The following is a 24,432-nucleotide window of genomic DNA, read 5'->3' on the forward strand; positions in this document are numbered from 1 at the left end:
GGTGGAGCATTGTCTCCGAAGCACCCAGCTCAGTCTGAGCTCCCAGGAAATGGCCCGAGGGGTGGGCACAGAGACCCATTTTACAGCTGAGGAAACAGATTTTCAGAGGCAAGGTGCCCTGCGCAGCCTGGAGGTGACAGGAGGGCCAAATGTGTGAAGGCTCCTGGTGCTGTCCTGGGTTCCGCCACCGTCAGCCCACCAGGGTTTAGAACCCAACCCCTGCTCCATCCACTGATGGTGGAGACGAGAAGTTAGAAGAGGAAACTCACGCAACTGGTCCCCCTCTCCCGTGGGGCGGCTTTTGTGGCAGGCTTCCTGAGCCTTCCACACCAAATAGGTGGCCTCTCCCACTCCTCGTTCGAGCTCCCCATGTTCACAACCACAAACCAGCCACCGGGCATCAGCTTCAGAAACAAAGACTGCAGCAAGCAGAGCCAAGTTCCCTCCCACCAGCCAGGCCCTGCAGCCGTAACAGATCCCACCACAGCCAGCAGGCAGAGCTTCATAACCAGGGACCTGACGACAGCCCTGGCCGCCACTCCAACCCCTGACCCAACCGTGGGAGGGGAACAGGGGCCTGGGCCACCCCCTTTTCTCTCTCTTTTTTTTTTTTTTTTTTTTAAATAAAAACTGTTCTCCCAGTGGTCCTGCTGGGATAAACTGTAAAACATCTCTCCCGTTCTGTTCTGGAATCCTGCAGTCACTCGAGGACAAACTTGAAAAATAAAATTGTCATCATAAAGAAATCAACCGAGCATAATAATAAACAACATGTTTAACATTTATTACTCTGTGTTCTGACAAACTAAAATGTGAAAACATGCCAAAATTTGGCTTTCATAAAATAATTTCTCATCAAGTTCTTTCCTTTGACAGAATGCCTCTGTTTCCATTCCTAGCTGGTGAGATCTGCTTGGAACACGGTAGCATTTCCAGAAACGGGTCTTGGGTTTGAGACTTGTATGATCCCCAAAGCATCTCCCTGGCTCTGTTAGATTTCCTCTGATTGACAACATTCTCTCCTAGTGACAATATTCTGGCTTTCCTGGTAAACAGTAGTGAGCAAGCAGGTCACATGGGGACGGGGTGGGTGTCACCATCATTCAGAAACAGGAAACCTTACAAGGCAGCCAGTCACGGCCACCAGAACCCCACTTTTTTTTTCTCACTGTGGCAAAATACAGATCATGCAACATTCACCCACTTAACCATATCTAAAAGTACAGTTTGGTAGCATTAAGTACCTTCACGTTGTTGTACAATCATCACCCCATTCATTTCTAGAACTCATTTCATCTTGCAAAACCGAAACTCTGTCCCCACTACGTAAGAACGCCCCACTCCTCCGTCCCCCAGCCCTTGGCAATCTCCATTCCATTTTCTGCCTCTATAAACTTGACTTCTCTAGATGCCTCATATAACTGGATTCATTCTGCATTGTCTTTTTGTAACTGGCTTATTTCACTTAGTATAACATCCTCCAGGTTCACCGTGTTGTAGCATGTGTTGTAATTTTGCCCCTTTTTAAGGCTGAATAATATTCTGTTCCCAAAGCCCTATTTCTAACATTACACAGAGCACAGACCCACATTCTGACATGAGAACACCCCAGATCTGCTCTTGGGACATCCATACATGCACCAAAATGCACCCTCGCCCCTCCAGTCTCTGTGCACATATGAGGACCACCCTCCTGGACCTGTGAGATGCTCGGTCACACCCACAGATAAATGCAGTCACCCCACAGCCTCCATCTGCAGCTCTCACCTGGGCACGCCCCAACGCACACCCCCCATCAGAAGGAGTCGTGGGAGATTTTGCAGATTCTTGGGGACATCATAGCTGGAAGATCCAGGGACCCATCTCAGCCCTGGGTCGAGATGGGGAGATTTTGGCACTTGAACCCCTCCACTGTCCCTGTCTCCAGGTCCCCTCCACAGGGTAAAGAAAAGGGTTGCTCAGCACCTGGGAAGGCCCCACATCTCCCCACCCAAGCTTAGCTTCCGTGACCCCAAGGGGAGCTGAGGACTTGGTCGCGGGGAAGCCCAATCAGCCCAGGTCTCACAGAGATTCAGCCCAGATCCAATCTGCCTGCCAAGCTCCACCCCCCTCTCCTCTGGACGGGGCAGAACTGGGAAAACAGGAGCCTCTATGCCCAGGAGCATGAAGGGGGACCCAGGGGTGGCCTCTGGCCTGGGACGTGTTCCCTGTGCACATCCCAAGCACCTACCCTACTAGCGTGGTGCTCTGCTCCCCTGGAGATCTCAAACTTTGGAATGGGAGTGTCATTCCATCTTTCTCCAGCTGCCCCGCAGGGGGACCAAGCTCAAAGGAAGCTTTGCGAACAGTAATACAACACAGTACCTCCTCATCTAACGAAGGTCTCAACGCTTACGCCTTGACTAATTCCCAAAATCCCTCCGTCTCAAATCACTGTTAATTTTCTTCAGATGATAATGGTGTTGTGGTTAGAGAATATCCTCATTCTTAGAAAAGCACACGAAAGTATTTAGGGATGATGCCTGGAACTTACTTTCAAACTTACGGCAAAAAATACATAGCTCTAGAGATGTATCTACACAGACAGATAAAGCAAGCGTGTGACATGGTTACGCGTCAGCTCTAGGATGGGCTCTGAGAGTGTTCCTTGTTCTTCCTTCAACTCTTCTGTATGTTTGGATATTTTCATCATACAAATTTGGGAGGAAAAACCCCTCGCCCTCATCATGGCCGTCCTTTGATTACCTGCTCTCCCTCTGCACGCTGTCATCATGAAGTGACCAGGAAGTCCAAGAGGATTTGTCAATGGTAGGACGTGGAAAGAACGTTCTGCCGGGTACACGGGCAGGAATATGCAACTTCCTGCCTCCCAGCAGAGGCGTCGTGTGGCTCAGCCGCGAGCTGCTGAAGGAGCTCTTTCGGACGGGAGCATGAAGCTGCTCCAGGGTGGCTTCCCCACCACACGCCATCCCTAGAGAGAAACAGGAGGGCTGTCCCCAGACACTGAACAAGAAGGTCTCTCCCCAGCCCTCTCTCTTCATGGCCTAGCTGTGCTCTGTGGTGTCCCAAACAGCTGTGAAGTGTGTGGCACAGAATCCATTGCTCATAAGAACCAGAAACCGGCTGGGTGAGGTGGGTTATGCCAGTAATCCCAGCACTTTAGGAGGCCGAGGTGGGTGAATCACTGGAGCTCAGGAGTTCGAGACCAGCCTGACCAATATGGTGAAACCCCATCTCTACTAAAAACGCAAAAATTAGCCAGGTGTGGTGGCATGTGCCTGTAGTCCCAGCTACTCAGGAGGCTGAGGCAGGAGAATCGCTTGAACACGGGAGGCAGAGGTTGCAGTGAGCCAAAACCACGACACTATACTCCAGCCTGGGTGAGAGAGTGAGACGCTCTCTCAAAAGAAAAAAAAAAAAAAAAACAAGAACCAGAAACCCTTCCATGAATGCAGGACCACACCTCTTTCACTCTTGCTGTCTCCCCAGCACCAACCCAGGGCCTGACACGCAGCGGGCACTCGGAGTAAATTAAAGCTTACAGCCAATGTTCTCTCTTTTACAAGTTAGAACAAATTTCAGGTCATTCCTCATAGCCTGCCAACTTTAGAGATAAGAGGTGAATGGCCTGCAGTGAATGGGACCCTGGCCACCCCTGCCGCCTGACCCGGGTGGCTGCAGCTGGGGATGAGCGAGCTGTAGCCGGGAGGAGGCTGAGGAGCCTGGCAGAAAAGCCTCAGGAGCTGGAGGCTGGGATCACGGCAGGAGGAAGGCAACTGGGGTCAGAAGATGGAGAGCAGGCCAGAGCCGGGGCATTCTGGAGCTGCCTTTGACCCTAGGACAACTTCCAAATGAGGACCCTGGGACTGGGACCAGGCAGCCTCTCCCTGGCCGTTCAATGTCTGCCGGCCAGGAAGGAAGGCCTCCTCGGACAAGGAGGAAGCACCGGAGAGGGTGTTTGTTTTAATCATCGGAGATCAAAGACAAGTCCCACCGGGCTGGTGGTCCTCCTGGGGTAGCCAGGCCCTTTCCTCTCCTCCTGCCCCAGAGTGGCTAACTCCACACCCCCCATTCCTTCCAGAGCTGCTGCCCAGGACAGCCGGGGCTCAGGGAGACCTCTGGACACTGCATCCTTCCAGGGCATAGAGAGTGAGGTAGGGATAGGTGTCCAGAGACCTTAGAGCTGAGGCCTTGCTGACTTTATGGCTGTGACCTCACAGAGAGCCCAGTCATGGGTAAGAGAAACGAGAGAGGGATGGTGCAGCTAGAAAACTGCCATGTCCAGGGGGCCAGCTAAGGCTCCCCCACCTTCAGGAAGGCCAGTGGTTGAGAGCAGGGCCCAGGGATGACAGATTCGGTCCGATTTTGCCTCTGATCAGTGAGCCACCTAGTTCTCGGAGCCTCTGTTTGCTCTTCTGGAAAAGGGGCACAGGGCTGCTACTGCCATGAATAGCATTTGTCAAATACTTGGCTCAGAGCCTGACGCGGAGTGAGTGCTCCGTGAGCAGCCAGTGTTCTTGTCATCAGTGTTGTTAGCCTGTGTGCCCTCATGATGCGAGGGACCTCCTGGCTGCTGCGATTTGCTGAGATGCATTCAAGGTTTTGCTTCTACTGGGGGACCAGCAGAACAATCGTGACGGGCAAGTGGGTCTGGATATCAAGCCCTGCAAAGTGACCTGGGCCAGTGACACCCCCACAGGGCCTGCCATCTCCCTGCCCCACACGCCTGGGTGCCCCAGGAGGTGGGCTGGTCTCTATTGCCCGAGGACAGAGGCCAGCGACTTTGTCCCTGCTCTGTTTGCCATGAAAGAGCAAAACCACCACAGGGTTCAAAGGAAAAGAGGAAAACCCAGTAACTCGTCCCAGACGGTCTGTCCCCTTTATCAAAGCTGATTTCAGGGAGCAAAGTTCCCACCAGGAGAGGCCACAGCCTCATTAGAGAGTTCTGGGAATGATGAAAAGCCAGGCCGCCGTGCACATCCCTGGGACAATTAGGCCTTGTCCCTCTGCCTTCAAAGGCAATCTCACTGTCTCTGCGCGTGTGTGCGCACGTGAGAGGGTATGACAGTATCTCCGTGGGTCTCTCTTCTTCCTCTTAGTATTTCTTTTTGGCTCTCCCTGTCTTTTTCTGTTCTCTGTCTTTTCCAACTATCCTTTAACCCCTCTCAGTACCCAGGCACTCTGCATGTTTGAGATGATCCCTCTTCTGCCCACTGGGTACCTAGATGTCTAGATGTCCTAGACCAGACAAAACCTGCCCCAGGAGACCTCCCCTTCATGTCCTCAGAGGAGGCCCCAGACACTGCCCCCCGCCACCAGACACCCAGCTTAACCAAAAGATGGGAATGGTGCAATCACTTCCACGGATCCCTTCCTCTGAACTCCAATTCTCCCCATCATGAGGACAGAATGCAAACTATTCCCCCACAGCAAACTCCGGTTTCCGGATGCCTCTGTTGGATACAGCAGGGTCTGAGCGGAGATTCTTCTCCAAATCCCGACTAGCAGCCTCCCCCAACCCCCAACCCTATGGAATGTTTCTTACCCACGGCAGGAGTTATAAGCAAGGCAGTAACACATTCCTCCACACCCCGGACGCTGCCAGGGCCTTAGGTTGAGAGGCGTTCTACTGTCCAGAGACACAGACCCATTTCGGGGATGCTACCCCAAACCGATCCATGCCCCAAATGCACGCAACGCAGGCCCGCCCGGGCCTGCCCAAGCTGCCAGCACCCTGGCCCCTGGCACCATGAAATGTTCCTAGAACAGACAACACCATGTGTGAGACGCAGATTCTTACATCAGGCAATTATTAGAGGAAATCGGCCTGTTCCTTTAAGTGAGAAGGCAAATTCTACATACTTGTTTTTGTCATAACACCAGAGGAAGCGGGCGCAATATTTTCGAAATTAGAAACAGCCTTGGGTCTCTGCCCCTCGCTGATGGTACTCGGGTATTAATCCATTAAGGCAATCAAAAGAGCTTAAATAAAAGTCTGAAGCCTGCAATATACATGTCAATGAACAAGCGGTAAAACTTCCTGAAAAGGTGATTTCAAAGCCATATTGCCCACGCTTGGCAAATTGCATATTTAATTATTTTGTCAGTCCCTCTTTCTCCTCTAATCTTTGGAAAAAATGCCTTGACCATGTGAAACCAGTTAGGATAATTAAGGTACGATGGAATTAGGTGTCGGCTGATTTCTCAGAAAGATGCCATCCTCTAACCTGGTATGAGATGTGTGCAGGCCCCAGAAGGCAGACGGCATTGTAATGTCTCCTTTCTATAGAAAGATCAAAGGTCTTTTGCCCCTTTCAAGATGTTTGTAGAATTTGTTTCCCAATTATCCCACATTTGCGCGCTGGGACATCCTAGCTAACTCTTTGATGGCACCTCTGGAATTGGGCAGTAATTGACATCAAGCCGCACCTCCTGGCTCCAGGCTGCGGGCTGAGATTTCGATCTTGGGTCTGTGTTCAGAGAGGGAAGAGGATGAACGCGAGATAGAAATGGGGTGCAGGTTTAGGTTTTTCATCCCTTTGGTTCCAGCACTACTCTGCACTCAGTGATTGGGACTCCCCTCATCAGTTCAGCCTTGGTGAGCACTGGGAAACTCCTCCCGCTCTGATTCTGGTGTCAACTGGGCCTCAGATTTGGCCTTTGCAAAATTTTACCATTTTAAAGGCAAAGCCTGAATGCCTTTGAAGACCATTCTGGAAAGCAAATATATTGAATACATGATTTTCCCACAGAAGAATGTTTCTCCTGGTCCGGGAAGATGTTTAAAAAAAAAAAAAAAAAAAAGCCATCAAATATTTGGGAAAAGTAAGAAAAAGTGGTCAAGATTTGAAGTTCTAGTTACGGCATTTTTTAAAAAGCCCATCCATCTGCACACTGATAGTTATGGCATTTTGAAACTAAATGGGATTAGAATAGCACACCGAGGTAGAAGGTCAAATGTTAAAATATTTTAAAGAAAATCTCATATAAAGACTTTTTCTAGTGTGTATTTTATTTTTCATGTTTCCTTTTTTCATGTTCTGTTGATCTTTCTTGACTCTGCAAATATTTTTTTCCTGATTGCTTCATTCAAACAATTCGTCTTCAACATCTTTGTCTTAGCTTAAGAAAGAGAGTTGCAAAGAGAGAAAGAAAGAAAAAGAAAAGCCTTCTGAATCTCTTTATGTGCAAATACAATGACTTCCTTGGAAATAATTTTTTGAAAAAGCTCTCAACAATTTGAAAAATGAAATACCATTGATCCAGGGAACCATATTCCCAAGGCTACTCCAGGAAATTTCTCTGATATTTTATCTTATTCTGTCCACTTTAACCCTTAAAAATTCACCTGTGTCTTACAAGTTTTAAATTGAGGCGATGAGGCCCCAGAGGCATCAGAAGGAAAAGTTTCCCTTATAATGACTCCTGTTTTCCGTATTCTTCCAGAGAAACCGGAGATCACGAGGCTGCCTGCCGGCACTGCTACGTTCTCTACAAACAGCAAACTCGAAAATGCCGTATTTCCCTGATAAATAATTCCCATTCTAAGGGATTCCACCCCCCATTCCAAGTCCCCTCCAAAAATATATATTGAAAGAAAACAAAATCACAAGGAAACACATTTTCTACTCTTGTAGCAGAAAAGGGCTGGTAACGGATTTTTGGTGTCTGCATAAGCTGAGAGCAAGTGGCTCTAACCTGGGTTTCTGCTGCCAGAGAAGGGGCCTGGAAGGTTCTCCCTGTGAGGAGATGGGGCAGCCCTACTGGGACACTGCGTAGGATTGCCAGATTTAGCAAATAAAAATACAGGACATCCCATTAAATTTGAATTTCCAATGAACCAGGAATATATATAATATGTTTGTTTGTTTTTTTTTTTTTTTTTGGAGACAGACTCTTGCTCTGTTGCCCAGGCTGGAGTGCAGTGGCATGATCATGGCTCACAGCAACCTCCTGGGGTCAAGCAATTCTCCTGCCTCAAGCTCCCGAGTAGCTGGGATTACAGGCACCCGCTACCACACCTGACTAATTTTTGTATTTTTAGTAGAGACAGGGTTTCACCATTTTGACCAGGCTGATCTCGAACTCCTGACCTCAGGTAATCCCCCTGCCTAGGCCTCTCAAAGTGCTGGGATCACAGGTATGAACCACCACGCCCAACCAGGAATAATTTTTTTTTTTTTAAGCATAAGTATGTCCCAAAGGTTGCATGGGACATACTTATACTAAAAACTTATTCCTGGTTCATATGAAATTCACCTGCCCTGGTGTATGCCATCTGGCAACCCTAGCCTTGGGTTCCAAACAGGGTCCAGCAGGCTGAACAGGGACATCCCAGTTTTCCCACCTCAAAGCAAAACTGAGTCCATGAAGAAAAGAGTGCTTTGTGCTGGGCTGGGAACAATGCTTGCCTGGCCATCAGCTAGCTGTGTGACAAACTCGTCCCATCTCCTCTCTGAACCCCAGTTTTCCTATCTGTGAATTGGGGGTTGGGTGAGATCTGAGGCCTGCAGGAGGGAAGGAAGCCGCCCAGCTCCGGCAGCCCTGAGCGAGTCTTTCTGGGTCTCACCCTCTCCTGTCTTTGCAAGCCTCCCAGATTACTGAGCCGGTCCCTGCTTTATGATAAGGAAGCTGAGGCTCCAAGGGAGGACGTGCCTGGCTGGGTCACCCAACAAGCACGCAGACAAAAACACTCAGAAATTTCAGTTGGATTTTCTTGTTAAGCACCAAACTGTTCACCGCAGGGAGAATCGGGACTTTGCAGGTTTCCTTGATGTTTGCTTTACAGTTTACTACCGTGTGTTTTGATGACCTGGGGTAGAGGATAAATTTTTGGGAACTTTGGCCGTTCAAAGTCGGGACTTGTGGGCCTGGCTCTCCCCAGCCAGCTTGGGTCCAGGCCCCGGAGATGTGGGGTTTCCCAGACCTCTCACCTCCTGCATTGAGCTTGGGGAAATGGCCTCAGAGGCTCCTATGAGACCTCAGACTGCTGGCCCTACTGGGGTGGCTTAGCCCCTGCTCCACACGGCAGGGCTGGGCAGGCACAGGGATCTACTAATTCAGATCATGTTCTCAGAGGAGAATACCACTTCTCAAGGGAGTGTCCCCATTCCCGCTGCACCCAAACCACATCCCTGCCCCGGGTGCTGGCATTGCCCTCCTGGCCAAAACCCAGTTAGGGGCTGCCAACCTGTTTCTTACAGCTCCTCAGAGGATGGTTCTCTTACTATCTCAGTCCAAACCCCTCCTTCAGCCAGTTCTTTTTCCTATCCTCCTTAACTCCCTCCTGCTGTAGGAGAAATCTTTTTGTTCCTGCTGAGCCTCCAGGGAGACAGGGAACAGCTGGTCAGCATCTGGTGCTCTCCATTAGCCAGGACTCCTGCCCCCTGGGCCTTCCGCTCCCCGGGCAGAATAACTCTGCTTCCTCTAACCTTTCGGCTGGGTCCCGTGCTCCAGGGCTTTCATCATGTCCTTCATACCTCTGAAGCCACTCCAGGCTCCCTGGCCCTCCTGTGGCTTCTGTTGGGCCCTGCCAGGCGGGCCAGCCAGGGCAGGGGCAGAGGGCGAATGACCCTCTCCCCTCCCAGCCCAGAGAAGCGGGGGGTGCGGGCAGCCATGTCTGGGGAAGGAGGCAGATGTCACAGCTGTGCCAGGTTCCTCCTACTGCAGGGTGAGCCTGAGCTTGTCTTCTGGAAAATGCGGACTGATGCCCTTTCTGCAAGGTTTGGTAAGAGGATGCCATGTGGTGGTACGGGTAGAGCCCCCTGCCTCTGTTCCAGGCCACCCTGAACTTCTCTTTCCCCATTGGATGACCTTGGATAAATGACCTCACTTCTCAAACCTCAGCTTTTTCATCTGTAAAGGGGTAGTTAGGAAGATTCTAGAGATAAGGTCCTAATGAGCCTGGCCCTGACCCACAGCGAGAGCTGTGCGGGGCCCATATTTTCAGCGACATTATCTCTGTTTTATTGTTAGTCATCTCAGGCCAGGAATGTGCACACCCAGGGGCTCAGCTGTCTGGCTTTGCTCGACCCTAGAGTCCTGGATTCTGAGCCTGTTGGATTCTGCTGCAGCCTGCTCCTACCTAGGAAAGGAGGGGTCTGTAAACACGGCCGAGTTAGCTCTTCCTCCGCAACACTTCCAAAATCCATTTGGGGATCTCCTCTTTCCAGAAGCTTCCGAGGCCCCAGTGAGATGTCTCTGCCAGCCACAGGGGCACAGGAGGGCTAAATCCAGTGGCCCTCTCCCTTCTCTCCCTAGCTTGGGTTCCTTTGTGCCACCCCGCGAGCGGGGTGTGTGTGCCCCAAGCCGACATGGGCACCTACAGATGAGGCCTGGTGGGCTGAACCGTCCACACTCAGCATTTACAGACTTGAATGAAAACCGAGCTCACAGAAGCTCCAGCCACCATCCTGGCCTCAGGTCACGTCCCTTAGAGACCCACCGCTGTGAAGGTGTCCCAGAAATGCCAGTTGTCTTTTGTCCAAAGATAGCATAAGCTGTCTTTGATTTAGGAGGGATCACCCCATCCCAACACCCGGCTCTCAGAGGCACCTCATTCTGGAAAGAGCTGGAGAGGCCATCTTGTTGGTCTCCTGCTACTGACCTGGGCCGTCTCCCATCCTCCTCCCCGCAGGCCTCTGTGAACCCCCCAGACCCCAAGTCTTGCTCTGCAGCTCACGGGGCTAGGAATGGGCCCTTGGTGGCATCCACAACTCCCCCCTGCCACAAAGCACATCTGCACAGACACCCAGCACGCACCTGACGATTCACTTGGTGATAAAAATTGGAAAGAATCCCAGAGAGAGATTTTTATTAAATGCAAACTTCTAATTATTCCTTTAGTCGTCTTTTTTCTAGTGACTGAGCTACGACGTATTTTCCTAGCAATTATTTTTAACATCTCGAAAACTGCCCTTAAGATATGCAAAACACACTCACTTAAGAGAGGCAAGTTCCCTTTTCCCTCTATCTCAGTTATTAAGAAAATAGGAAGTTAAATTTGTTCATAATCACATTTCCGCAGCAGACCATAACAGGGGTCACGCCTCCAAAATGAACAAGGAAAGAAAACCAAGAAATAAAAAACCAGAACGCCTTGGCGTGTTTGCGATTCCTGCCAGGGTGTGTAGGTTTGACGGTGGGATTTTCCTGGCATCAAACAGCAGTGAGCCCCAGGCTCCCCCAGGATCCTTCAGGGTCCGTAAGTGGGTCAAGGAGTTCAGAGTTGGACCTTACCTGCGGGCGTCCCGAGGGGCAGGCTGGGCTCAGGAGCTGACCGTGCCAGGGCTGGGCCACAGAAGGTGAAGGCGCGGTGCGTGGAGGCCCTTTGTGGACAGGTGCATGGGCCCATCTCTCTCCGAGGCGCTACCTGCGGTTTACTGGACGTTTATTAGAAGCTCACACAATATCATGAAGCACCTGCAGGCAATAAAATCCCTTACATGTGTGAGGCCTTGAGGAAATTAACGGCTCCTCCCTGGGGATGCATATTTTGTGAAGATGTTTATTGCAGATGAAACGCTCCCGGGGTGGGACATTAACAAGTTGTAGAGTGATAAAAGGATTTTTATCCTTTCTCAGTGACAGAAGTAGGAAGAAGGCTTTAATGGAATCTATAAAAGACCTACTTCCTAATGAATTTTCTTAACTCTTTATTAATGGGGCTGGCTGTGTGGAGTCGGGGTCCGTGGTGTGCTGCCCCATTGGACAAGGCGGGGATGGAGCGGGAGAAGGGGCACGGGGCCCGTGCTGGGTCGAGAGCGCATGAGAGGTCTCCGAGTGAGAATCCCGGGGCCGGGAAGTCCATCCGTGAGTGTGCTCCAGTGATAAAGGCACTGCCCCAGGAAACTCATTTGGAGGGCCCTTGGGGTGATGGAGTGAGTCAGGCCAAAAGGCAGGTTCTGAGCCCCACTTTTTAACCCCCTGTGTCCTGCTCCAGCCTGCAGGCCATTACTGAGATGAAAGCCGGGAGAGTGCCTTTGGACCACGACTGCGGAATCTAATTGAATTATATGAACGCAGTTAAACGTCTGCTTCAGAGAGGCAGGGCTCACTTTCAAGATTGGATGCTTCAGGAGTTAATGGGCTATTTGAACAATATAGGCCGAGAGCCGAACACAGGTGGGCTGTGTTAATAACTTTATTTAGACTTGCTTTTTTTTCCCTTTGAGGCGCACAAGCCTTCCATTAATGCATTCATTAGAGTTTATGGGCAGGCTCTGGTTTTCTCCTAATGACACTGTCCAGACCCGGCTCCCAGCTAATTGAGGCCAGCTGCCCGGCTGCCCCGCCCCAGCCTCAGGACCCGGTGTCACCAGGATTAGCTATGGGGCTGGGGCTGGAGCAGTGGGGGAGGAGTCCTGCTTGCCCTCTCCAGTAAGTACAGGAGGGGAGGTGCCGAGGGACACCCCAGCACCACTCAGGCTGGTGAAGGAGCCCAGATGGGTGGGCTGCCATCCCCACGCCCCTTGGGACAGCCTCTGCCACCATCACTGTGGCCCCCTCCTGGTCCTCCTCCCCTTTGCAGTCACACTGATGTTCCAAGAGACCAATCCAACCCTGTCACACCCTGCTGAACAGCCCGCTGTGGCTCCCCACTGCCCTCAGAAGAAAATGCAGACTCCGTCTCTCCATCCAGCAATCTTCTCATGGGCTCCAGCCTCCTCTCTCACCTGGTCCTCGTTCCAGATGCATCCCCATGTCCCTCCTCTCTTTGTTGTGGGCCAACAGCCAGCAATGCCTCACCTTAACCCAAATGGACCCACCCTCTCCCAAACCTACAAGGCCCAGTTCAAATGCATCCTCCTCCAGGAAGCCTTCCTTTTCTGCCTGAATTGGAATCCTTTGAATGTGTGTATGTCTTATTGTTTGCCTCTCCTTCCACTAGGCCATGAATACCTTGAGGGCAGGATCCGAATTTGTTATTAGTATTAAAATAACAATAACACAGCTGGGCACGGTGACTCACGCTGTAATCCCAGCACTTTGGGAGGCTGAGGCGGGCAGATCACTTGAGGTCAGAAGTTCGAGACCAGCCTAGCCAACATAGTGAAACCCCATCTGTACTAAAAATACAAAAATTAGCCAGGCGTGGTGGCAGACTCCTGTAATCCTAGCCATTCAGGAGCCTGAGGCAGGAGAATCGCTTGAACTAGGGAGGTGGAGGTTGCATTGAGCTGAGATTGCACCACTACACTCCAGCCTGGGGGACAGAGTGAGACTCCATCTCAAAAATGAATAAAATAAAAATAACAATAATACACTAGTGGTCAGGTCCCCACTTATGAAGCGGAGGTTGCAGTGAGCCGAGATTGCACCACTACACTCCAGCCTGGGTGACAGTGAGACTCCGTCTCAAAAATGAACAAAATAAAAATAACAATAATACACTAGCGGTCCCCACTTATGAAGCATTTACTATATGCCAGTTGCTTTATAAGCATTGGCTTATTAAACCGCCACAGCACCCGGAAGGGACGTTTTACTGTCCCCATTTCACAGGTGAGGAAACTGGTGCTCAGGGACAGAACATTACTTGCTCAAGGACACCTGTCTCTGCCACTTACCAGCCGGGTGACCTCCCTTCCCCTCCCTGATGACTGCGTCTGTATGTCTGTATTGTGAGATTGTAGCAGTGGGGTGTGGGCATCGGTCCATGTCAGTTTGCAAGAGCTGCTGGTTACATTTTCAAGAATTAATGTTACAAGCTGGTTGTTAAACACAGCCTTTGTTAAACATTTAAATTATGTAAACTTAAATAAATGATATTCAAATCAAAGGTAATAAACACTCCAAACTCATCCATTCCTATACGTTTACTTCATTTTCCTATCATCTATGCCCTTGAGCTCATGTCTACTGTATCTGTGTTGGAAATGCCACATCATGGCAGCTGTGGCACATCTGTGCCTAACTCCACGTGCAGTAACATCATGTTCACCACTTGAAATCAGCCATAGTAGGAGTATTTACACCATAGACATGGTCAAACTCCACAAATCAGGGCTTTTTTCCTCCAGAGAGCAGGTTGTGAGACATGTAGCAGCACATTACTGGGTTATAGAGAAACGCCAAGAAAGAACTCTGCCCACAGCTCTGAGCACAGTGCCAGGTACACACTAAGCACTCAATAAAAGTTTGTTTTGATGAAGATTATAAGAGTGATGATGACAACAATGCCAGTGACATCATGCTCCCCATATCCCCACCCCCAAACCACTCCTACCAGTCCAGGCCTCTATCCTGAGCTCCATGAGCCCCGTGGCCCAGCTTCCTAGACACCCAAAATAGAATCTCCCCCTTGAGGGCCCCTGGGTCAGAGAATGGCATCTTCATCCCCCACGGCCCCGCCAGCAGCCCAGGCAGCTGTCTTGCCTCCTCTGCCATTTCTTGTCTGCACTGGGGTCATTCTCTCTCACTGTTGCCCATCTCACTCCCCCCCTCCAGCCCGCCCTCCTCCAGACGGGCAATGCCACCATCCCCAAGCGTGAATCTGACCCTGTTACCCTTCCCTGGGTCCTGGTCACCTCTGGAAGTTCCGGGCTCCTCGGCCGTCATCTGAGGCTCTGCCCAGCCTCCTGCTGCTGCCTAGGAGTACACAGCCCCATCGCCTGCCCATCCCTCGGGTGCACCCTGCCCCAGCCACACCAAACTGCTCACATTGATGGATGGCATTCTTCCAGATGCTATTCCAGGTACTGGGGCTACAGGGTAGACAAGACAAAATCCTTGTTCTCTTGAAGTTTTCATTTTAGTAGGTTAAAACAAATTTTAATTTAAAAAGCAGCATGTGTGTGTGTGTGTATGTGTGTGTGTGCATTGTGTGTGTCTAATATCAGGTGGCATTGTTATTAGGTTGGTACAAAAGTAATGCGTTTTTTTGCCATTAAAAGTAATGTCAAAAAACTCAATTACTTTTGCACCAACCTAATAGCATGGAGAAAAATAAGCAGGATAAAGACCAAGACAGTCACCGTGGGAGTTGCTGTGTTATATGGGAGTCAAGAACAACCTTATTCATTGGTGACCTTTGGGCGGAGACCTGAAGAAAGAGATGGTGTGGCTCTCCAGGCAGAAGGAAGAGCCAGTGCAAAGGCCCCGAGCTGAGACTGTTTTTCTATCTAAGGAAGAGCAATGGCTGGAATGGAGTGACCAGGTAAATTCAGAGAAACACAGGGGCCAGATTGTGTAGGGTGTGATTGTTCATGCTTAGGACTTTGGAATTTATCTGGAGTGAGCTAAGAAGCCAGTAGTGGGTTTTCAGCAGGGGAGTGATGTGACAGACACATTTCAAAAGCTTCACTCTGGCTGCCGTGCTGATTTGGAAGTCTTGGGCAGACCCCGGGACACAGGCTAGGAGGTGGCTACAATTATCTTCCAATGAGAGATGACGATTCTTCTTTCTGGTCTTTGGCTCATGGTATCCCCTTATCCTAGAATGACCCCCCACTTCTCCTCATTATGTAAGACTAAATCCAGGTTCACCTCCTCCAGGAAGCCACCTCTGATCTCTCCTACCCAGGTTGGGTCAGGTGGCCTCCTGTGTGCTCCCATAGGCCCAGTCACGCCCCTCTCACTGAACTGAAAGGCCTGTTTACCCACCTGGTTCCCCAATAGCCAGAGAGCAACTTGAGGACAGAGGCTGGGAATCTCTGTCTCCAGGACCAGCACATGATCAGGCACAGAAGAGATGCTCAGAGAGGACAGGGGCGGTGGCTCATGCCTATAATCCCAGCACTTCGGGAGGCCAAGGCGGGTGGATCACTTGAAGTCAGGAGTTCAAGACCAGTCTGGCCAACTCGGTGAAACCCCATCTCTACTAAAAATAATAATGAAAAACATAGCTAGGCATGGTGGCATGCACCTGTAATCCCAGCTACTCGGGAGGCTGAGACACAAGAATTGCTTGAATCTGGGAGGCAGCAATTGCAGTGATCTGAGATCACAGCACTGCACTCCAGCCTGGGCAACAGAGTGAGACTCCATCTCAAAAACAACAACAACAACAACAAAAAAAAGAAACAAAAGGTGCTCAGTGAACATGTGTTGACATGAGCTAAAAGACACAGTGATATTATCAGAGTGAATGTCCTTCCACAAATACTTGTCAAAGGTAAGCTTCTACAGGGTGCCAGAGATTCCATCCCAAACAAAATAAACATGGTCCCTGCTCTTGTGACTCTCCCACTCTAGGGTTGGGGAACTTCCAGAAGCTAGGGGTGGCCAGGGTAGCAAAAGAGGGGTGAAGAATAGTAAGAGCTGAGGCAGAGTAAATCATGCTGTACCTTTAATGTCGTGGTAGAGAAGTTGCAATTTCTCCCGTGATCACTGAGAAACTGTTGAAAGCACGTGGCATAGTCAAATGTTTTTAAAAGATGACCCTAAAATGGCACCAGGCCCAGATGATTCTATCAGTTCTCTCAAAGAATAGTGTACATGTAATTTATACTTTTCCAAAGATGAGAAGTTTCACTTATAATTTTGTGAGTTTAGTACAAATCTAATCCCATAACCCAACAAAGACAGCTTTATAAACCCCATAGATGACTAATCTCATCTATAAACAGCGATGAGGAAACACAAAATCAAATGCTATCATAGAGAAAGTAGCAAAACATTAAAGATATTGACTGGGCACAGTGGCTCATGCCTATAATCCCAGCACTTTGAGAAGCTGAGGTGGACGGATTGCTCAAGCCCAGGAGTTCGAGACCAGCCTGGACTACATGGCAAAACCCTGTCTCTACAAAAAATACAAAAGTTAACCAGGCGTGGTAGCGTGCACCTGTAATCCCAGCTACTCCGGAGGCTAAGGTGGGAGGATTGCTTGAGCCCAGGAGGTCAAGGATGTAGTGAGCTGTGATCATGCCACTGCACTTCAGCCTGGATGACAGAGTGAGACCGCATCTCAAAAGAAAAAGAAAAAAAAACATTAAAAATCTAATACACCATTCTAGGAATACAGGTTCAGATGAGGAAAGTCTGTTTATATTATCTATCTCGCTTAATGCCCATTCTCAATCTAAATATTGTGCAGACTTTGTACTTAAGAGTGAACGCCAGCCGGGCATGGTGGCCACACCTGTAATCCCAGCACATTGGGAGGCCAAGACGGGCGGATCACTTGAGGTCAGGAGTTCGAGACCAGCCTGGCCAACACGGTGAAACCCCATCTCTACTAAAAATACACAAATTAGCTGGACATAGCGGTGCACACCTGTTGTCCCAGGTACTCAGGAGGCTGAGGCAGGAGAATCACTTGAACCCGGGTGGTGGAGGCTGCAGTGAGCTGAGATTGTGCCACTGCACTCCAGCCTGGGCAACAAGAGGGAGACTCTGTCTCAAAAAAAAAAAAAAAAAAGAGTGAACATCGTGGCAGGTATATGAACCAGACCTGGCTATGACGAGGATGCCTGTGTGACACAGCATTGCCCCGGGTATGCTGGATGCTAGCGCACTGTCCTCCTCCTTTTGTCTTCATGACACAAACATATTTACATATGGCAGTCCCCCTTTATCCTTGGAGGATAAAGTCCAAGCCCCCCAGTGGATGCCTGGAACCTCAGATAGTTCCAAACCCTAGTTGTACTATTTTTTTTTTCCTGTACATACGTACTTAGGATAAAGTTTAATTTACAAATCAAGCACAGTACACTTGCACTTGGGGGCCATTATTAAGTAAAATAAGGGTGACTTAAACACAAGCATTGTGAAACCACTACATTGATCTGATAACTGAGACAGCTACTAAGTGACTAGCGGGCAGGTAGTGAAGGCAGGTAGCAGAGGCTGTGTGGATCTGCTGGACCAAGAGATAATTCACATCCCAGGTGGGAAAGAGCAGCATGACGCGAGGTTTCATTATGTAACTGAGAACATTGTGCAATTTAAAACTTAGGAATTTGGCCGGGCACGGTGGCTCACATCTGTAATCCCAGCACTTTGGGAGGTCGAGGTGGACGGATCACCTGAGGCCAGGAATTCAAGACCAGCCTGGCCAACATGGCGAAACCCCGTCTCTACCAAAAATACAAAAATTAGCCTGGCATGGTGGTGCACGCCTGTAATTCAGCTACTCGGGAGGCTGAGGCAGGATGGGAGACAGAGGTTGCATTGAGCCAAGATCACGCCACTGCACTGCAGCCTGGGTGACAGAGTGAGACTCCATCTCAAAAAACAAACAAACTAACTAAATAAATAAATAAAACTTAGGGGATGGTTTATTTCTGCAATTTTCCATTTAATATTTTTGGACCATAGTTGACCATGGGTAACAGAAACCATAGAAAGCAAAACTGTGGCTAAGGAGAAGCTGCTGTCCTCGTCTGGTTATGGCCACCCCTGGGTGTAGAGGGTGATCCTCAGCCACACAGGAGGTTTTGCTGGTTCCGGGACCATAGACTGTAACCCACCAGCTCAGATAATCATGACAGACAGTGACCTAGTAGGAAGTACAATATTGGAAAAATAAGTATCGCTACTTTCAGATGAAGATGTCATTTGTCTGTAAAATCCAAAATAATCATTTAGAAATTATTAAGACTAAAAAAGGGGTTTGGCAAAATGGCTAGCAGAAAATTAGAAAAGCAGAAATAAGTAAGTTTTCTATATTTTAATAACAAGCAGTTTGAAAATATAATGGGGAAATCCCACTTATAAAGGCCATTAAAAAGTATTAAATGGGCCAGGCACAGTGGCTCGCGCCTGTAATCCCAGCACTTTGGGAGGCTGAGGTGGGCAGATGGTTTGAGCCCAGGAGTTCAAGACCAGCTTGGGCAACATAAGGAGACCCTATCTCTACAAAAAACTTAAAAAATTAGCCACACATGGTGGTGCACGCCTGTGGTCTCAGCTACTTGGGAGGCTGAGGTAGGAGGATCTCTTGAGCCCGGAAGGTTGAGGCTGCAGTGAGTCATGATCACACCACTGCACTCCAGCCTGGGCAACAGAGCAAAACCCTGTCTCAAAAAAAAAAAAGGTTATAAATGCATAACCAGAAATGTGCAGGACCTATAAGACTAACACTAAAAAACTTTACTGAGGGATATAGAAAAACTTTTTTTTTTTTGAGACAGAGTCTCACCCTGTCGCCCAGGCTGGAGTGCAGTGGTGCGATACAGCTCACTGCAGCCTCCGCCTCCTGGGATCAAGCGATTCTCCTGCCTCAGCCTCCCAAGTAGCTGAGACCACAGGCATGCACCACCATGCCCAGCTAATTTTTGTATTTTTGGTGGAGACGGGGTTTCACCATGTTGGCCAGGCTGGTCTTGAACTCCTGACCTAATGATCCGCCCTCCTAGGCCTCCCAAAGTGCAGGCATGAGCCACCGCACCCGGCCTAGAAAAGCTTTTAAATCACTGGGGAGAAGTTTTCTAAAACTGAGCATTTTTCTGGTATGAGAAGATTGATTAGTATAAAAATGTCCATTTTCTCCAAAGTAATGAACAAATTTAACACCAGTACAAACAAAATATCAGTGGAATTTTATTTTTCAACTTAAATATTTCTAAAGTTCATCTGGAAATACAAATGTATTAGAATTACCAAGAATTTTTTGAAAAGAAGGATTAATAAGAAGTTTGCCTATAAGATAACAAAACATATTATAAAGCTATAGAAATTAAATCAGAAAGATACTGATAGAGAAAGAGACAAATGTGTCAATAAGATAGACCTGGCCAGGCGCGGTGGCTCACACTGTAATCCCAGCACTTTGGGAGGCCGAGTCAGGCAGATCACCTGAGATCAGGAGTTTGAAACCAGCCTGGCCAACATGGTGAAACCCATCTCTACTAAAAATACAAAAATTAGCCAGGCGCAGTGGTGGGTGGCTGTAATCCCAGCTACTTGGGAGGCTGAGGCAGGAGAATCACTTGAACCCGGGAGGTGGAGGTTGCAGTGAGCCGAGATTGCCCCATTGTACTTTAGCCTGGGCAGCAGAACGAGACTCCATCTCAAAATAAAAAAAGGCCCAAAGACAATGGAAATTGAGTATAATAAAGGATAGATTTCAACTCAATAGGGAAATAATAGAATGCTTAATAAATAATGTAGAAACATTAGAGGAAGCATTGGGAAAAATAAAGTTAAATCCCTACCTTATGTGAAAATAAATTCCAGATAGATTAAAGATGTAAGTTTTTAGGGGGATGTTTTTTTAATTGCCAGAAGAAAATATTGGTGAATAGTTATACAATATTGAGTGTGGGAAAGATATTTCTAAATATTACTTCAAAAACAAAAACAAGAAAAAAGTTTTAATTGCTATGTTTACATTATTAAATTATAAGTATTAGATAATATTTTTATTATTTTTACATACAACTATTACATATTTGGCATATTAAAATATTGCAGTGAGCAAACTAGAAGAGATAAATTCTAAATTGAGGAGAGGAAAGGTACTTGCTAGATATATGGCAGAAAAAAGTGATTATATTTACATATAGATATCTCTTACCAATCTAAAATTTAGTACTAATTTGACAGAGGCAGTTCACAAAAGAGGAAATAAAAATGATCCATATGTGCCCAGGCGCGGTGGCTCATGCCTATAATCTCAGCACTTTGGGAGGCGGAGGCGGGTGGATCACTTGAGGTCAGGAGTTCTAGACCAGCCTGGCCAACATGGTGAAACCCCATCTCTACTAAAAATACAAAAATTAGCCTGGTGTGGTGGTGCATGCCTGTAGTCCCAGCTGCTCGGGAGGCTGAACCAGGAGAATGGCTTGAACCCAGGAGGCAGAGGTTGCAGCGAACTGAGATCGCGCCACTACACTCCAGCCTGACTGACAGAGCCAGACTCCATCTAAAAAAAAAAAAAAAAAAAATCCACTAAGTGTAAGAAAAGATGCCCAACCTCACAAATAATCAAAGAAAGGCAAATTAATACACAAAGATAGTATGTTTTGCTTATCAAACTGATCAAGATTCAAAAAAATGCTAACACCCAGTGCTGGTGAGTTTGTGGGGAAAGAGGCACTCTCACATACTGCTGGTAGTGGAGTAAATTGGTGCAGCCTCCTGGAAGAGGCATCATACATGAACAGCCCTTAAAATACTCAGACCCTCTGACCCAGCATTTCCACCTCTTGGAATGTATTGTGGAGAAATAAATAAGATACTTGCACAAAAGAATTCAATGAAGCACTCTTTATAAACAGGTAAAGAACTGGATACAAGCTAAACATTTAGGGAAATGGTTAAATTGTTGCACACCCATTCTAACCAGTATTAAAAAGAATGAGGGAGAAGAATCTCTGGGTGCTGACCTGAGCGATCTCCAGACTATAGTTGGGTAAGAAAAGAAAATGCCAACACTATGTATAGCATGTTTGAAGCTGTGAAATATACTTACAAACATTTATGTTCATAAACATTCTGAAAACATGCCCAAAATGTTACATTGTGGAGAATATAGCTTTTTGTGTTTTTTTGAGGTTTTATATGGTGCTTGTATTATTATTTATTTAAAAATGTTAAAACAAAAAAGTTATGCTATATATGTGCATTTATTTTCACATTGGGGACCTGTCAAAAATAATCAGTTAACTAAACAGTGCAAATAATATGATACCATCTTTAAAAAAAAAAAAAGAAAGAAAGAAAGAAATAGGCCAGGCGCTGTGGCTCATGCCTGTAATCCCAGCAATTTGGGAGGCCCAGGTGGGCAGATCACCTGGGGTCAAGAGTTTGAGACCAGCCTGGCCAACATAGTGAAACCCCATCTCTACTAAAAATACAAAAATTAGCCGAGCGTGGTGGCGGGCACCTGTAATCCCAGCTACTCAGGATCTGAGGCAGGAGAATCACTTGAACTCAGGAGGTGGAGGTTGTAGTGAGCAGAGAGCATGCCACCACACTCCAGCCAGGCGACAGAGCAAGACTCCGTCTCAAAAAAATAAAATAAAATAAAATAGAAATAAATATACACACGAATGTCTATGTGTATGTGTATATTTCTCACCTGTACCTGGCTTATCCATTGCCCCATTCCACTCTTGCACACAAAGCTGGGGCATAATAAATATTTGTTGAATACATTTAAGTGCATATTTCTGGAGTATATACATTCATATCTTAAATGGTGCTGGTCCCTGGGTGAGAAGATTATGGATGGTTTTTATGTTCTTCTATTTGTTGTTTTTTCCCTAAAGTTTCCCTAAAAAATATATATCATGTGTCTTATTTTCCTGTTTCCATTATAAAAAAAGAAAGAAACATTATTTCTCTATGAAATGGATGACTAATGAACTGGTTAACAGGTTGAGGGTCTGGTGACATTGTGGAGGTTGGGGGGCCACCGTCTGCCCAGAACATGCCCCCACTGAAGACCCCTTCTCGAGTCCTTCCCTACTGTTCTCTTATCCATTCTGAACAATAGCAGACTCACCTGGAAGCTTATAAAAAACATTCATTGCCAGGCCCTAGCCCAGGCTGGCTGACTCCCTGGAGGTGGCCGTGGGCACTGTGGTCTGAAGATCCAAAGTCATATTTCACCCGTCTCCCTTGAACCCTATGCCCCCTGACTAAGCGTCTCACTCTTCCTGGAACAGGCCTGGCCCCTTGCACCTTGGCACGGCAGCTCCCCAGTCTGAGGCACCCTCCCCACTTTGCCCCCCAACACATTTCTACCCTTGGTCACCAACCCCGGGTGTGTCTTCAGAGACACACTCACACCCCCGTAAACAAGGAGGTCTGGAAATAGCCTGCCACTGTCCCACACCCCAAATCCTGGGGTCTCCGGATCAACTCCCCACCCTGCCTGGACTCCCATCACCCTCCCAGCTCTATTCTCGGCCGATCACCTGTGGCCCTAAAGCTGCAACTGGTGCTCCGAGTCCATTCTGGGGACAGGATGCTGGAGGGGAACGCTCTAGAACCACCCCCTCTTACAGATGTGGTTCCTGATGCCCAGGGAGGCTGGTGCTACCCTGACCACACCCTCACACCCTGCAACTGCTGGCTCTCAAAGGATTCTTACACATTAATAAGAAATTGTCACGCACCCATTAGAATAACACCAGTCCTCCCTGCTCCCCTAAGAAGTGCATGGCTGGAGGCTTCCAAATCTGCCCAGAGCCTCAGCTCATCCAGGAGCCTCAACTTGGAATCTGGGGAGGAGGAGTCCTGGCTTGGTCCTGGCCCTTAAACTGGGGCTTTCCTCCTTGTCCTTCGCCTGATGCCCTGCATGAAGGGTCTCAAAACCTCTCAACCTCTTAGCATCCTCCTCACCACGCCTCACTCTCAGCAGGTGAGGGCTGAGGCCTGGATGTCCTGGTGACAGGAAGCCCAGATGAAAGAGTGACATTTCCTTTGACAATTGCCCTCCCCAGAGGAGGGGTGACTGAAGGGCCCTGGGGTCTGCGTGGCTCGTCCTGGACATGCCTCTTTGCAAACCCACAGCTCCCTGGAGCATGGCTGTCTGCCCCTGGTTTTCTCATCTCTCCCAGACACCCCCCACCACCAGGCTCAGCCATCCATGTGGGAGGTGGGAGGGTGCCCTGCGGTGGCCATGGCCAGTGAACGCTCCAGGGGGACATGGTTGGTCCCCCTTGGACGTGAACCTACATCAGCACAGGCGTCCCTGGGGTGGGTTTGGCATCTGATTCCTCCTGAGACTCCAGCTCCTGCCCCTGCTGAACGTGGGGTGAGAGTGAAGGGAAGATTGAGGGAGAGGGCAAAGGGATGCAGTAGTGCTGAGGTGAGCCTGTGCCCTGAGTGAGGCGGCCCCATCCAAGGCCTGGCCTCTGCTGAAGTCTAGCTCCTCAGCCATGTGCCCCCAACTTCTCTGCACCTCAGTTTCTTCCTCTGTGAAGGGGACATAGGGATGGTGTATTAGTCTCTTCTCACACTGCTGATAAAGACATACCGGAAACTGGGCAATTTACAAAAAAAAAAGAGACATGGCTAGGGAGGCCTCACAATCATGGTGGAAGGCAAGGAGGAGCAAGTCACGTCTTATATGGATGGCAGCAGGCAAAGAGAGAGAGAGCGTGTGCAGGGAAACTCCCCCTTATAAAACCATCAGGTCTTGGCTGGGCACGGTGACTTACGCCTGTAATCCCAGCACTTTGGGAGGCCGAGGCAGTTGGATCACGAGGTCAGGAGATTGAGACCATCCTGGCTAACATAGTGAAACCCCTTTTCTACTAAAAATACAAAAAATTAGCCGGGCATGGTGGCAGGCGCCTGTAGTCCCAGCTACTCGGGAGGCTGAGGCAGGAGAATGGTGTGAACTCAGGAGGCGGAGCTTACAGTGAGCCAAGATCATGCCACTGCACTCCAGACTGGGCGACAGAGCAAGACTCCATCTCAAAAAACAAACAAAAACAAAAACAAAAAACCCATCAGGGCTTGCGAGACTTATTCACTATCTCAAGAACAGCACAGGAAAGACCTGCTCCCATGATTCAATTACCTCCCTCCAGT

General features: G+C 48.6%; 6 annotated features.

The window, feature by feature from the left end:
* Positions 8,408 to 9,041: an enhancer, noted in NCBI's record as "H3K4me1 hESC enhancer chr9:129293424-129294057 (GRCh37/hg19 assembly coordinates)". NCBI's record gives its function as "activates a minimal SCP1, AML or CMV promoter by ChIP-STARR-seq in naive H9 embryonic stem cells {active_cell/tissue: H9 hESC(naive)}" and the evidence as "EXISTENCE:reporter gene assay evidence [ECO:0000049][PMID:30033119]".
* Positions 11,008 to 11,534: an enhancer, noted in NCBI's record as "H3K4me1 hESC enhancer chr9:129296024-129296550 (GRCh37/hg19 assembly coordinates)". NCBI's record gives its function as "activates a minimal SCP1, AML or CMV promoter by ChIP-STARR-seq in naive H9 embryonic stem cells {active_cell/tissue: H9 hESC(naive)}" and the evidence as "EXISTENCE:reporter gene assay evidence [ECO:0000049][PMID:30033119]".
* Positions 11,535 to 12,059: an enhancer, noted in NCBI's record as "H3K4me1 hESC enhancer chr9:129296551-129297075 (GRCh37/hg19 assembly coordinates)". NCBI's record gives its function as "activates a minimal SCP1, AML or CMV promoter by ChIP-STARR-seq in naive H9 embryonic stem cells {active_cell/tissue: H9 hESC(naive)}" and the evidence as "EXISTENCE:reporter gene assay evidence [ECO:0000049][PMID:30033119]".
* Positions 12,586 to 13,110: an enhancer, noted in NCBI's record as "NANOG-H3K27ac-H3K4me1 hESC enhancer chr9:129297602-129298126 (GRCh37/hg19 assembly coordinates)". NCBI's record gives its function as "activates a minimal SCP1, AML or CMV promoter by ChIP-STARR-seq in primed H9 embryonic stem cells {active_cell/tissue: H9 hESC(primed)}" and the evidence as "EXISTENCE:reporter gene assay evidence [ECO:0000049][PMID:30033119]".
* Positions 13,936 to 14,436: an enhancer, noted in NCBI's record as "H3K4me1 hESC enhancer chr9:129298952-129299452 (GRCh37/hg19 assembly coordinates)". NCBI's record gives its function as "activates a minimal SCP1, AML or CMV promoter by ChIP-STARR-seq in naive H9 embryonic stem cells {active_cell/tissue: H9 hESC(naive)}" and the evidence as "EXISTENCE:reporter gene assay evidence [ECO:0000049][PMID:30033119]".
* Positions 14,437 to 14,937: an enhancer, noted in NCBI's record as "H3K4me1 hESC enhancer chr9:129299453-129299953 (GRCh37/hg19 assembly coordinates)". NCBI's record gives its function as "activates a minimal SCP1, AML or CMV promoter by ChIP-STARR-seq in naive H9 embryonic stem cells {active_cell/tissue: H9 hESC(naive)}" and the evidence as "EXISTENCE:reporter gene assay evidence [ECO:0000049][PMID:30033119]".

The sequence above is a fragment of the Homo sapiens genome, chromosome 9 (assembly GCF_000001405.40).
Source record: "Homo sapiens chromosome 9, GRCh38.p14 Primary Assembly".
Lineage (NCBI taxonomy): Eukaryota > Metazoa > Chordata > Mammalia > Primates > Hominidae > Homo > Homo sapiens.